This window comes from Homo sapiens, chromosome 1, assembly GCF_000001405.40.
Source record: "Homo sapiens chromosome 1, GRCh38.p14 Primary Assembly".
NCBI lineage: Eukaryota > Metazoa > Chordata > Mammalia > Primates > Hominidae > Homo > Homo sapiens.
This window is the reverse complement of record NC_000001.11, coordinates 20839510-20854099: the sequence shown is the minus strand read 5'-3', so window position 1 is coordinate 20854099 and position 14590 is coordinate 20839510. Positions and strand designations below refer to the sequence as shown.

General features: G+C 39.4%; 1 protein-coding gene and 1 pseudogene across 62 annotated transcripts in view; one reads left to right on the top strand and one right to left on the bottom strand.

The window, feature by feature from the left end:
* EIF4G3 (eukaryotic translation initiation factor 4 gamma 3) overlaps window positions 1-14590 on the top strand; it is a 370606-nt gene that overhangs the window by 322798 nt on the left and 33218 nt on the right. For all 62 annotated transcript variants that reach the window (XM_047433321.1, XM_047433366.1, XM_047433324.1 and 59 more), the window contains 4 exons: window positions 423-540; window positions 2622-2842; window positions 4570-4685; window positions 13072-13244. In XM_047433321.1, coding sequence (XP_047289277.1) covers window positions 423-540; window positions 2622-2842; window positions 4570-4685; window positions 13072-13244 — 628 coding nt within the window. The remainder of the gene's footprint in view (window positions 1-422; window positions 541-2621; window positions 2843-4569; window positions 4686-13071; window positions 13245-14590) is intronic.
* Window positions 12798-12859, bottom strand: RNU7-200P (RNA, U7 small nuclear 200 pseudogene; annotated as a pseudogene).

Genomic DNA, 14590 nt, shown 5'->3' with positions numbered 1-14590 from the left:
GTCCCTTCTACTAAGTAATTTCAACCTTTTTTTCTTTAAATTTTAAAAAATGTCATTATTCAGTAAAACCCACATGCATATTTGTGCACAAATGAGATTGGAGCATTTGTGCTGGTTAGCTTTGTTAAAGTTTTGTTCTGTTTTCGCTTGCCTTCCTCCTCCTATATGCCACTCCCACCCCTGTTTACTATGTTTTTAAAGGAACCAATGGTTGAAATAAATAAAGACTTCTAAACTCTATTATGTGCAAATTCCCTCTAACACTTTGCTTCTCAGAATATGGTAGAGGGACCAGGAGATGGGCGTCACCTAAGCTTGTTAGGAATGCCTGGTCTCAGGCCTCACCTAGGGATGCAGATGACTGATTATTTGCATTTTAGTCATGTGATTTGTATTTTTTTCTAAATCCTCGACATGTGTAGATGCCTTACGGTCAAGTGCTTCCAGTTTAAACAGATTCTCTGCCCTGCAACCTCCAGCACCCTCAGGGTCCACGCCATCCACGCCTGTAGAGTTTGATTCCCGAAGGACCTTAACTAGGTGAGAACCCTGCTTTTTATGTCTACTCAAGGCTGGCCCGCTTGCCAGTATGTGTGGCAAGATAAGAACAAGGGTTTTGATAGCAATCCTTATGGATGCATTCCTTTTATTCCTAAAGTTGATTTCTTTAATCTTCACACACTATAATTTCTAAGATAGGAACATAATTGGGTGGTGAATTTGGGATGGGATGGGAGGGAAGGGATTCTTAAGAAAGCTAGGCCCACCCAAACAGCCCTGGAGGCATGTCTAGGGGCTCCGCAAGCTAATCCTCCAGATGTTCTAGAAGCACCTAGCATTCTCAACCATGGGAATTAAAGAACATGACAATCCACCCATACATTTCTCTGTCACACTCTTCATGTTATATTTGAGGTTGTCCTTCAGTTTTTGCTAGTCTCCATATTTCACTATCTTTCTGCTTTTGCTTTTCTAGGATTGATACAGTCAAGTATCCTGTTGGCTGGTTTACATAAAATGAATGGGCACCCTGTAGTGCAGTCACAAAAAATAACATTTTTTACATAAGCACTTTCAGAATTGAAGTTTCTTTAAGCTCTAAAACTTTTTTTTTTTAATTATTATTTTTTAGAGATGGCATCTTGCTATGTTGCCCAGGCTGGCATTGAACTCCTGGTCTCAAGCGATGCTCCCATCAGGCTTTTTATTATTATTATTGTAATAAGTTTGATTAGGTAGACTTTGTAAACTGTGTTCTTATTCCCTTGACTTCTATTGAAACAAAGTATAGTTAGCACAAGGCAGCTTTTCATGATGATTCAGGTTGTCATTGAGTATCACTTGTGGCGCTTTGCCCTGTCATAAATGTCCCCTAATGGTTCTGCTTCCTAAGCACTTGTGTATGTTCTTTCACAATAGTTAGACCATTTTCCTGCCCGAGTCTCTCCTTTTCCCTTTTAATTTGCTGCTTCTGGTCTGCCACGGGCCAACGAACTGTTTGCTCAGCTGGTTAGAATTGTCTAAAAGAAGACGAATCAGGAAATATGGAGAGTCTCTCTTAAAAGGAATAAAATATATAGCGTTGGCTAATCCAAGACAGCTTCTTCTTGATTCTCAAATATTTTCCATATGTTTAAAGATTCTAAATAAAAAGGTATCATTGCATAATTTCTGAGATAGTGATACCATGTTCTTATAATATTTGTTTCCCTTTCATTTATGTAACTCATACTTTATCATTGTCTTCTTTATTCCTGAAAGATTTTTTAAAACTAAAAAAAGAAATTGCCAAAATTAAGGCCGGGCACAGTGGCTCACGCCTGTAATCCCAGCAGTTTGGGAGGCCGAGGTGGGCAGATCACCTGAGATCGGGAGTTCGAGACCAGCCTGACCAACATGGAGAAACCCTGTCTGTAATCCCAGCTACTCAGGAGGTTGAGGCAAGAGAATCACTTGAACCCGTAGGCGGAGGTTGCAGTGAGCCGAGATTACGCCATTGCACTCCAGCCTGGGCAACAAGAGTAAAACTCCATCTCAAAAAAGAAAAGAGAAAGAAATTACCAAAATTATCACTGGCTTTTTTTGAGACAGAGTCTCACTGTCACCCAGGCTAGAGTGCAGTGGCGCAATCTTGGCTCACTGCTACTTCCTCCTCGCAGTTTCAGGCCAGTCTCATGCCTCAGCCTCCCAAGTAGCTGGGATTACAGGCACCCGCCACCAAACCCGGCTAATTTTTGTATTTTTAGTAGAAACACAGTTTCACCATGTTGGCCAGGCTGGTCTTGAACTCCTGACCTCAAGTAATCTGCCCTGCTCGGCCTCCCAAAGCGCTGGGATTACAGGTGTGAGCCACCATGCCTGGCCACCACTGACATGTTAAAGTGTTAAATAGTATCCCTTCAGAGAAAAAAGTTAAAACATCTTAATAAATATTCCCTTTAAAGCACTCTTTTACTTGTTTGTTGAATAAACTTTGAAATATAATTGGTGCCTCACACATCTAATGTTATCTGTGAAAAATTCTGTATACTTTCAGAAAGTCTTAGTGTTATTTTATAATTTGAATATGTGGGGGACATGGGCTTGTCTTTCCTTTGAAAAGTGTTGTTTTGTCTTTTAAGTCGTGGAAGTATGGGCAGGGAGAAGAATGACAAGCCCCTTCCATCTGCAACAGCTCGGCCAAATACTTTCATGAGGGGTGGCAGCAGTAAAGACCTGCTAGACAATCAGTCTCAAGAAGAGCAGCGGAGAGAGATGCTGGAGACCGTGAAGCAGCTCACAGGAGGTGTGGATGTGGAGAGGAACAGCACTGAGGCTGAGCGAAATAAAACAAGGGAGTCAGGTGAGAGACTTGGCTTAAACAGATGCAGATTTGGGTTTTAAATTTGGAAGGAAAAATAAAAAAGAGACTGTGCCTGAGTAGATTTTAGAATTAACACATAATAGCAACACATACCAGCATCTGAAGAGTTAAAGGGTACTTCATAGTTTTATAACAGTTCTCATTCCCTAGGTATGCCTTAGCTGAACAGTTTGTAAATTTTCTCCTTTCTCTATTAAATGTTATGGTGAGGAGGTCCTCCTGCTGTATTTTAAGCAATCTGAATTTCTTACAAGTCCCTGTAACATCCCACACTTGACGTTGCTGTTAGATTGTGTATGCTGTGTAGAGCTCCTCAAATGTGTGAAAATTCTCATTGAGCCACTGCAAGACAAACCAAAGAGAAGGTATTAGGTTATCTTTAGCTGACTTCATCTTCCGTGGTAACCTGTTGTTTTTGTATGCATTTAGCATGTATATACTTAGAGGACTTGCTCGGATAATGCTCTAAAAATTGCTTCATGTATTTAACCTGTGTTTCAGTTTCCTTATCTGTTAAATGGGGATAAGTTGTACCTACCTTTTCAGGATATTATGAAAATTAAATAAGAAGTTAATACACGTAAACACTTAGAACATTACGTGATAAATACAAGGTTTTCAAAAAGTATTAAATGTTGTGATGACGAATATAGCAATGGAAAACAGTTTAAATTGAAGATTATTTTCAGCCTCTTTTAAATATTAGTCATGAAGTAATAGCAGTTTTAGTTTTTTAGTATTTATATAGCTTTCTAATTTGTTTCACTATATAAATTGTATCTCTTAACTGTAGTCCCTAAATGGATCTCAGAGACAAATTGAAGTGTCTTCTCCCAATTGGTGTAACTTTAGATAATACAGCTTTAGGGACATATGGCTTTTTTAAAATCTGTGCTAGATACTTTTGAAATATAACAGGATAGGACATAAAATATCTTGGGTGTAATGAATAATGTAGCACAGCTGCCCTATGTGTTTTTATTGTCTGGTTCATTTGTACACTTACCAGATGCACAGTGAATGTGAGGCCCTTGATCCCTGTTCTCGGCCTTCAGTCTGCTGAGTCAGAAAGACCTTTTTTAGTAATTCCACGAAAGACACAAACTGAGAAAGGTGCTATGAAGGAAGGAATTTAGTTCTAAGAGAATACTTAGAACTATCTGGTACCAAGGAGCTATGTAGAATAGGGGCAAGGGGAGGTTTCCTTCATCCGAAGGACCAGTAGGAATGAAACAGGTTCGTAGGCAAGGATGGGTGTGAAACAGAGGGAAAGAGCACTCCAGACAGGATTACTGTGAGCAGAGCTGTAGTAGGAATAGCCACGGTTTGTTCAAGCAGCTGCCCAAGATCAGTGTGGCTCAAGCTTAGTGGCGAGCAGGGCCCTGACCTGTGCAGGATTGTGAAGACCTCATGTACTCTTCATCTTTGAAGCAATGGGGAGCAATCATAATACAGAAAGGAACAAAAAAGCTTTAATTAGGAAAGTTTATCATGTTCCTAAATCTTGTTCATTGTTATTGTAGATTATAAAGTTACTTAGTGCGAATCTATTCTAAAACAAAAGGTTTCTGTATTCTGTTTTTATCTATTAAATGTCTTGTAGCTATTAAAATAATGTAATAGCACATAATATTGTCAACCATAATCTCACTATTTTAATAGTAATTTTTATTATTTTTACTTTTTTTGGGGGGCCTCACTAATAGCAAAACCAGAAATTTCAGCAATGTCAGCTCATGACAAGGCTGCATTATCAGAAGAGGAACTGGAGAGGAAGTCGAAATCTATCATTGATGAATTTCTACACATTAATGATTTTAAGGTAAATGAGATTAAAAAAAAAACACACACACAGTAAGTCCTTTGATAGTATAGAATAACTTGGTTCTGGTCTAAATCAGGTGTCATTGTGAACTGATAAGACTTAGGTTGAGTAATACAAGTCCTACACAATTCAGTTTGCTTAACGCTGATGCATTTCTGCCAAGTACTCTCTTTTAATTTGATACTATAATTTACAACATAGAGTGGTGGGCAGAGAGTATGAGTACCAATCCATCCCCACTAAGGGAAAACCAAATTGATTTCTATATTAAGGAACAAAAACAACACATTATCATTATGAAGCATTTCTGGCACCCTGTATATAGCTGTCATGGTCTTTTTTTTTTTTTTTTTTTTTTTTTTTTTGAGACAGAGTCTTGCTGTGTTGCCCAGGCTGGAGTGCAGTGGCACGATCTCGGCTCACTGCAACCTCCGCCTCCCAAGTTCAAGCAATTCTCCTACCTCATCCTCCTAAGTAGCTGGGACTACAGGTGCCCGTCACCATGCTGAGCTAATTTTTGTATTTTTAGTAGAGGCGGGGTTTCACCATTTTGGCCAGGCTGGTCTTGAACTCCTGACCTCAAATGATCACCCACCTCGGACTCCCAAAGTGCTGAGATTACAGGCGTGAGCCACCACACCTGGCCTGTCATGGTCTTTATAATCATTCTGTTATCATTCTCATATTAATCTTGAAATATGGCCAGCATTACTTTTTCTTTATTTCATAAAACTGAGGCATAAAGAAACAAGCAATGTGCCAGGTCAGACAGCCTAAGCCAGAGATTTCAAGACAAGGCCTTGAATTTGCCCTTTAACCCTTACCTTCTCTTTAATCTTCATTTTGAGATAGTAGTGAATAAGACATTTCTACCTGACCTTGTGAACCCTATAGTCTAGTGGCAGAGACAAACCATAAACAAATAACTCCACTAGCAGTTACTTAACTGTAGTTATGATAAATGCTAGTAGACCTATAGGTCTTAGGAGAAATCCATTAATGGGATCTGATTAAGTGATGTGAGGTCAGGAAAGGCTAATCTGTTAAAACAGTCTTATCTGTTAAAGTATTTGTCAGATATATTAACTACTTTTGCTGCTTTGGCACTATATTATTAAAAATTCTTTCAAGATTATTTGTTTTCTTGGCCGGGTGCAGTGACTCATGCCTGTAATCCCAGCACCTTGGGAGCTGAGGCAGGAGGATCACTTAAGCTCAAGAGTTTGAGACCAGCCTGGGCAACATGATAAAGCCCCATCTCTACAAAAAATACAAAAATTAGCCAGGTGTGGTGGCACGCATCTGTAGTCCCAGCTACTCAGGAGGCTGAGATGGGAGGATCACTTGAAGCCCGGGAGGCAGAGGTTGCAGTGAGCCGAGATCATCCACTGCATTCCATCCTGGGTGACAGAGTGAGACTGTCTCAAACAAACAAAAAAAAAGAAAATATTACTTGTTTTCTTAACAGTGTAATCATCATCTGCTTTCCACATATAAAAATCACCTTGGTTATCTATAGTTCAATCTTCTAAAGCCTTCAAGCCTCTGAAATTCTTCAAAATTCAGAAGAAGTAGAAGGAAGTTTTTGATGATGAGTGAGGTGGAGGTGAGTGCTTTGCAGAAACTGTTGGAAATGTACCAAAGTAAATGAACATTAACGGGAAATAGCCAAAGAATAAACCTGATGTACTGTGATTCATCAGTTAGCCTCCTGGAAAATTAGGGGTATTCTTATAAATTGGCAGCATAGCCTTTTTCTTGCATGGAAGTAGGGAAATGTGAACGAATTGCAAAAAAATTAGAATGGCCAAGAAAGATGAAACGCCAAGACAGTAAGGAAGAAAACAGTGGAGATTGGCTTCAGATGTAATTTGAAGGATGTACAAAGTCAATGAATAACCCTTTAAAAGGGGAAAAATATGATCCTGTGATGAACTGGAGGTATAGGGAGTAAAAGACCTTAGTAACACCTAAAGAGTACAATAGGAGGACTCTTTGGAGAATCATGAGCCCTGGGCCAGGCTTGCAATACAGAAGGGGCAGAATCGTTGTATCTTTAGAATTTCATTGTGCAGTGTACAAAGCAACTGTGCCTGCAATATGGTTAAAACAGGTATTAACATTGGGCATTTACTGAGGACTTACTCTGCGTTGGGTGCTGTTGTACATATTCGGCATGTATTAGTTTGTATTGTCCTCGTAACATTCTCCTGAAGTTGATGTTATTATCATACCCATTTTTCAGATAAGGAAACTGAGGTGCAAAGATGTAAATCAACTTGTTCAAAATCTTAACTGCTAATAAGTGCCAGATTGAGGATTCAAAGCTAAGTTTCTAGCTTCAGAGGAGAAAATGCTTTATCTCATTACCTTTGGGGTATTAGTGTGTCAGGCTAAAGACTTAAAGAGCTGATCTTAAAAATATTTTTTCCAAATATCTTCCTATTAGGTGCTATTGTTTTTAACAGTGATTCAAATTAATATTTATTGAGGGTTTATTTTGTGCCTGGCACTGTGCCAAGTTCTTATACCTATATTTTATATACATTCCTCACGGTAACTCTAAAAAGTTAAGCCCAAGAGATTAAGTTAAACTCCTAAACTCTAAAGTAGTAAGTGGCAGAGCCAGGGTTCAAATGCACCTCTGTCTGACCCCACCGTGCATGTTTTAGCCTCTATGCTATTTATTTATTGAATACCTAAGTGTGCTAGCCACATTTTAGGGGTTATGACTGGGTATACCATATTTGTAGTGAACAACAAAATCTGCTTCCATGGAGCTTACATTCCAGTGGGGAGATACAGACAAGTCTGGCCCTAAAGATAGGTAGTAAATTAATAAATAAACAGTAGCTACCAAAAAAATGTTTTCAGTGCCAAAAACTAAAATTATGTGATTTGATGGAGTCAGGGAAGACAGGAAGTATCATTTCAACTAAAAGCTCAAAGACAAAAAGAAGCAAACCATAAGAAAACCAGATGGAAGGGCGAGGTTATGAACTGCTATGACACTGTGAGTATAATGATATAGCTGGAAGTATTACCCTTGAAAACCAGTGCAAGACAAGAATGTCCTCTCTCACCACTCCTATTCAACATAGTACTGGCCAGGGTAATCAGGCTAGAGAAAGAAATAAAGCATATTCAGATAGGAAGAGAGGAAGTCAAACTCTCCCTGTTTGCAGATGACATGAACCTGTATCTAGAAAACCCCATCATCTCAGCCCAAAAGCTTATTAAGCTGATAAGCAACTTCAGCAAAGACTCAGGATACAAAATCAAAGTGCAAAAATCACTAGCATCAGTCAAGCTGAAAGCCAAATCTCCAGTGAACTCCCATTCACAATTGCCACAAAAAGAATAAAATACCTAGGAATACAGCTAACAAGGGAAGTGAAGGATCACTACAAGGAGAACTACAAACCACTATTCAAAGAAATCAGAGATGACACAAACAACTGGAAAAACATCCCATGCTTGTGGATAGGAAGAATCACTGTCATGAAAATGGCTATGCGACCCAAAGCAATTTATAGATTCAGTGCTATTCCCATTAAACTCCCACTGACATTCTACAAAGAACTAGAAAAAAGTATTTAAAAATTCATATGGAACCAAAAAAAGGAGCCCAAATAGCCAAGGCAGTCGTAAGCAAAAAGAACAAAACTGGAGGCATCACACTGCCCTACTTCAAACTATATATATGTATTTTTTTTATTTTTTATTTATTTATTATTTATTTTTTTTCTTGAGATGGAGTCTTGCACTGTTGCCCAGGCTGGAGTGCAGTGGCGCGATCTCGGCTCACTGCAAGCTCCACCTCCTGGGTTCACACCATTCTCCTGCCTCAGCCTCCCAAGTAGCTCAGACTACAGGCGCCCGCCACCATGCCCGGCTAATTTTTTGTACTTTTAGTAGAAACGGGGTTTCACGGTGTTAGCCAGGATGGTCTTGATCTCCTGACCTTGTGATCCGCCCTCCTTGGCCTCCCAAAGTGCTGGGATTACAGGCGTGAGCCACCGCGCCCAGCCTACTTCAAACTATATTACAGGGCTACAGTAACCAAAACAACGTGGTGTGGTACAAGAACAGACACATAGACCAGTGGAACGGAATAGAGAACCCAGAAATAAGACTACACACCTACAATTATCTTATCTTCAACAAACCTGACAAAAACAAGCAATGGGGAAAGGATTCCCTTTTTAATAAATGGTATTGGGATACCTGGCTAGTCATAAGCGGAAAATTGAAACTGGAGCCTTTCTTTATACCATATACAAAAATCAACTAAAGATGGATTAAAATGTAAAACTCAAAACTATGAAGAAGAAAACTTACACAATACCATTCAGGACATAGGCACAGGCAAAGATTTCATGATGAAGATGCCAAAAACAGTGCAACGAAAGCAAAAATTGACAAATGGGATCTAATTAAACTATAGAGCTTCTGCACAGCAAAATAAACTATCAATCAACAGAATAAACAGACAACTTACAGAATAGGAGGAAATGTTTGCAATATACACATCCGACAAAGGTTTTTTTTGTTGTTGTCTTTTTTTTGTTTGTTTTTTGAGATGGAGTGTTGCTCTTGTCGCCCAGGCTGGAGTGCAGTGGCGCAATCTTGGCTCACTGCAACCTCTGCCTCCCGGGTTCAAGTGATTCTCCTGCCTCAGCCTCCCGAGTAGCTGGGATTACAGGCGCCCGCCACTACACCCAGCTAATTTTTTGTATTTTTAGTAGAGACGGGGTTTCGCCACGTTGGCCAGGTTGATCTCAAACTCCTAACCTCAGGTGATCCGCATCCCAAATACTGGGATTACAGGCGTAAGCCACCATGCCCGGCCCCCGACAAAGGTCTTATGTGCAGCATCTGTAAGGAGCTTAAACAAATTTACAAGAAAAAAAAAACACACACTAAAAAGTAGACAAAGGACATGAACAGACAGTACTCAAAGGAAGACATACATGTGGCCAACAATCACAAGATAAAAAAGCTCAATATCACTGATTATTAGAGAAATACAAATCAAAACCACAATGAGATACCATCTAATACCAGTCAGAATGACTATTATTAAAAAGTCAAAAAATAATAGGTGTTGGCGAGGTTGTGGAGAAAAAGGAACACTTTTACACTGTTGGAGGGTAAATTAGTTCAACCATTGTGGAAGTGTGGCGATTCCTGAGAGACCTAGAGACAGAAATACCATTTCACCCAGCAATCCCATTACTGTGTATATACCCAAAGGAATATAAATTGTTCTCTTATAAAGACACATGCACACGTATGTTCATTGTAGCACTATTCACAATAGCAAAAACATGCAATCAACCTAAATGCCCATCAACGATAGAGTGGATAAAGAAAATGCGGTACATAGACACCATGAAATATTATACAGCCATACAAAGGACCAAGATCCTTTCCTTTGCAGGGACATGGATAGAGCTGGAGGCCATTATCCTTAGCAAACTAATGCAGGAACAGAAAAGCAAATACTTCATGTTCTCACTTATAAGTGGAAACTAAATGATGAGAACACATGGACACGTAGAGGAGAAAAATGCACACTGGGGCCTACTGGAGGACAGAAGGTGGAAGGAGAGAGACAGGATCAGGAAAAATAACTAATGGATACTAGGCTTAGTATCTGGGTGATGAAATAATCCGTACAGCAAACCCCCATGACACACATTTACCTATGTAGCAAAGCTGCACATCCTGCACATGTACCCCTGATCTTAAAAGTTTAAAAAATATATATCATGATATAGCTAATTGACCCTTTATGCAAACACAGTGAATGAATTCCCATTAGAAGACATTTAATCACTTCCATTTAAATACTGAGGAATGATTTTTATTTATTTATTTATTTATTTTTTGGAGACAGAGTCTCACCGTGTCGCCCAGGCTGGAGTGCAGTGGGGTGATTACAGCTCACTGCAACCTCCGCCTCCCGGGTTCAAGCGATTTTCCTGTCTCAGCCTCCCGAGTGGCTGAGATTACAGGCGTGTGCCACTACACACGGCTAATTTTTGTATTTTTGGTAGACACGGGGTTTTACCTTCTTGGCCAGGCTGGTCTCATACTGCTGAACCTCAAATGATCTGCCCGCCTTGGCCTCCCAACGTGCTGGGATTACAGGTGTGAGCCACCGCTTCCAGCCTGAGGATTGAATATTTGCATTCATTTACAAGTCCTCTTGAAAAGGCATAACAATGATGTTGATTGGCTTAAAATAAGGTTAAAAAACCCACAAGGGGCCAGGTATGGTGGCTCACACCTGTAATCCCAGCACTTTTGGAGGCTAAGGCTAGAGGATCACTTGAGCCCAGGAATTTGAGACCAGCCTGGGCAAGATATCCATCTTTACAAAAAAATTTTTTTAAATTAGCCGGGCATGGTGGCATGCCTGTGGTCCCAGCTACTTGGGAGGCTGAGGCGGGAGGATTGCCTGAGCCTGGGAATTTGAAGCAGCAGTGATCTATAATCATGCCACTACACTCTAGCCTGGGTAACTAAGTGAGACCTTCTCTCTTTAAAAAAAAAAAAAAACTAAAAGACCCACAAGGATGAAGAGACCAGGGAATAGACAGAAGCAACGTTCTGGAAGTTGGAAATAAGAAGGATGAGTGGTAATTTATTTAACAAACTAAGACTGTCTGTGAGGTACAGATGTGGCCAGAAACAAAAGGGAATTAGTTGGTTAAAAGCATATATAAGAAACATTTTACAGCCGGGCGCGGTGGCTCACGCCTATAATCCCAGCATTTTGGGAGGCTGAGGCAGGCGATTACCTGAGGTCAGGAGTTTGAAACCTGCCTGGCCAGCATGAAGAAACCTTGTCTCTACTAAAAATACAAAATTAGCCAGGCGTAGTGGCTCATGCCTATAATCCCAGCTACTTGGGAGACTGAGGCAGGAGAATCTCTTGAACCTGGGAGGCAAAGGTAACAGTGAGCCAAGATTACGTCATTGCACTCCAGCCTGGGCAACAAGAGTGAAACTCTGTCTCAAAAGAAAAAAGAAACCATTTTACATGATAATTGTCTTGAATGTTTCAAAAATGGCAATGTCATGAAAAGACAAAAAAGAGAAAGGACGATTTTAGATTAAAGGAATCTGAACAACATAACATGTAAAGTCGGGTTCTCAACTGGACTCAGCAACAACAAAAAGCTATATTAGACATTCAGAGACAGTTGTGGAAATTTGAATATGTACTATATATCAAATATTTTTATTGACATTATAGTAAATCTCTTGGACATTCAGAAAGAAAACAACAATTGATGAATCTAAAAGTGAAGATATGTAGTTGTATATTGTATGACTCTTTAATTTTTCTGTAGGCTTGAAATTTTGTTAGATAAAAAGTTAATGTGAGGGAGGTATTAAATAAAGGAGCAGGGAGGAAAAAGCGGCAGTGGTGAGACACCTAGATGAGCCTTCTCCCTTCTGCATCAGTTCATCACCCTTCCTACCTACATCCTCCCCCTTCCTACCTACATCCTCCCCCTTCCTACCTACATCCTCCCCCTTGGAAGAGCTACTTTGCTGCAAAGGTTGAACCAAAAGATTGTGAATTCAGGGCACCAGACTAATTTCCAGTAGCTGAGAACAGAGAGATACACTGCTTTATTGGTGTATCAGCAACTCTGGCTGACCGACTTTCACCCTTCAGACCAAAGATATTGACTTGGCTGGATACTCTATAGTAAACACCAGTTAACAAGCACAAATTAAGAAGCATACCACAAGAACTTACTAAAAGAATTTTAATGCTTAACCTAACCATATCACTTAAATTTAACTTTCATATGAAGGAAGACCTTTTTCATTGAAGATTGTGCAAATATTAACCTACACAGACACAGTAACCTCTGTTGACACATTAAGGCTTTTGAATCATGACATTAAATTTCTATTTCATAATATACCATTTTCAATTTTTTAAATCAGTGATCATAAAATAAGTAAATATTATGTAGAAAAATACATTTGACTCACCCTTTGAGTGATGTTTAATAAAATTGTTAAACTAAACATGTTAGCTTTGTAAAGATGCATCATTATAAAATTTTTTTTATTTATAAAAACAGTTCTCTGGTAAAAACTGGAAAACCTACTAGATAAATTTGAAAAGGGCTGTAATGCTCTTTTTTTGTATGACTTTTAATATTGCCCATATCAGCCTGTAATTTACTGAGCTATAAATTATGTTAAACAAATATAAACTTATATTTGAAAACTGTCCTGTTCATGGAAGTTTCTACTGATTCTGTTGTAAGTAAAAGATTTTAAAGTTATCTTAACATTCTGGTAACACTATTCAGATTTTGGAGTAAACCTTTCTTTGCTGTTGGAACAGGAAGCCATGCAGTGTGTGGAAGAGCTGAATGCCCAGGGCCTACTACATGTTTTTGTGAGAGTGGGAGTGGAGTCCACCCTGGAAAGGAGCCAGATCACCAGGGATCACATGGGCCAATTACTCTATCAGCTGGTACAGTCAGAAAAACTCAGCAAACAGGACTTTTTCAAAGGGTCAGTATCCTCTTCAAGAGTGGTATTCAGTTACTAGGCTCTTGGGTACCAGTTAATTTTCAAAGTACTTACCTCTTTAAGTATTTAGTTTTTTCCATAGATGAAAATTGTATCCACTGTAATATGTTGATATGATGCAATTAATATATTGATATGTTGGTTGATGTGATGGCATTTTATAGATTGTGCTAGGGCATAAAGGTTATCTTTTGGTTTTCTGAATATTATTGTTAGATCTCTATCATGATGTAAGTAAGGTAACAGAGACCCCTTAGCCTCAGGGAAACTCTGAGGCCTTTAGCAGCCCATTTACATGTGATCCCCAAATGTTCTTTGAGGAAAAAAGCTTTTCTTTGTGAGAACAATTCTGAAAAATTGTCTTAAATTTAAAAACCATATTCTTTCAATAAACCATGGTTATTGTGGCTAGGAAGCACTTGTGTGCCCACTCTAGCCTCATGGAGAAGGTTATGTAACTTGGTGTTCTTAATGATTTAGTCTATTTCAGGTTGGTTTCATTATGATTCTTGTCAATGGATGGTTTGATAAGGTCTGCCTATCTGCCTGTCACTGGTGGTGAATCCTCATTTGATCAGGTTCTGGTATATTTGTGATATACCATCATCACAAGTACATGGATCAGGTTCCTTGTGGTTCAGCCACAAAATCTTACCCAGGCATAGGGTGTATAACCAATGTTTAAAGTGAAATTTGCATTGGTAAAAAATTTTGTTTTAGGAGCCATGTTGTATCAAATATAAACACAGAGTCACACCCAGCACTGACAGATGCCCACTCTCTAAGGGAATAGCAACTAGGATCTCCTAAGGTCTGGACATTGGATTAACATCTGCCATCTCATCCTCACCTGGACATATGCTTATTGAATCAAATGGCAGTAAGAATTCTGTACTACTTGTAATTTTCCTCTTTTTTTTTTTTTTTTGCCAAGCTCATGTTCTCATAAATTAAATGCACATATGATTAAATGCCACTGTATATTTTTCCGTAGTCATTTCACATATGGCAATCCTTTTAGAATAAGGTAACCATTAAATGTCATTGTTGGCCAGGTGCAGTGGCTCACACCTGTAATCCCAGCACTTTGGGAGGCTGAGGCGGGTGGATCACTTGAGATCAGGAGTCTGAAACCAGCCACGGCCAACATGCCAACATCTACTAAAAATACAAAAATTAGCCCAACGTGGTGGCGTGAGCCTGCAATCCCAGCTACTTGCGAGGCTGAGGCATAAGAATCGCTTGAACCCGGGAGGCAGAGGTTGCAGTGAGCCAAGGTTGCACCACTGCACTCCGCCTGTCTCAGTCTCTAAAAAACAAAAAAGTCA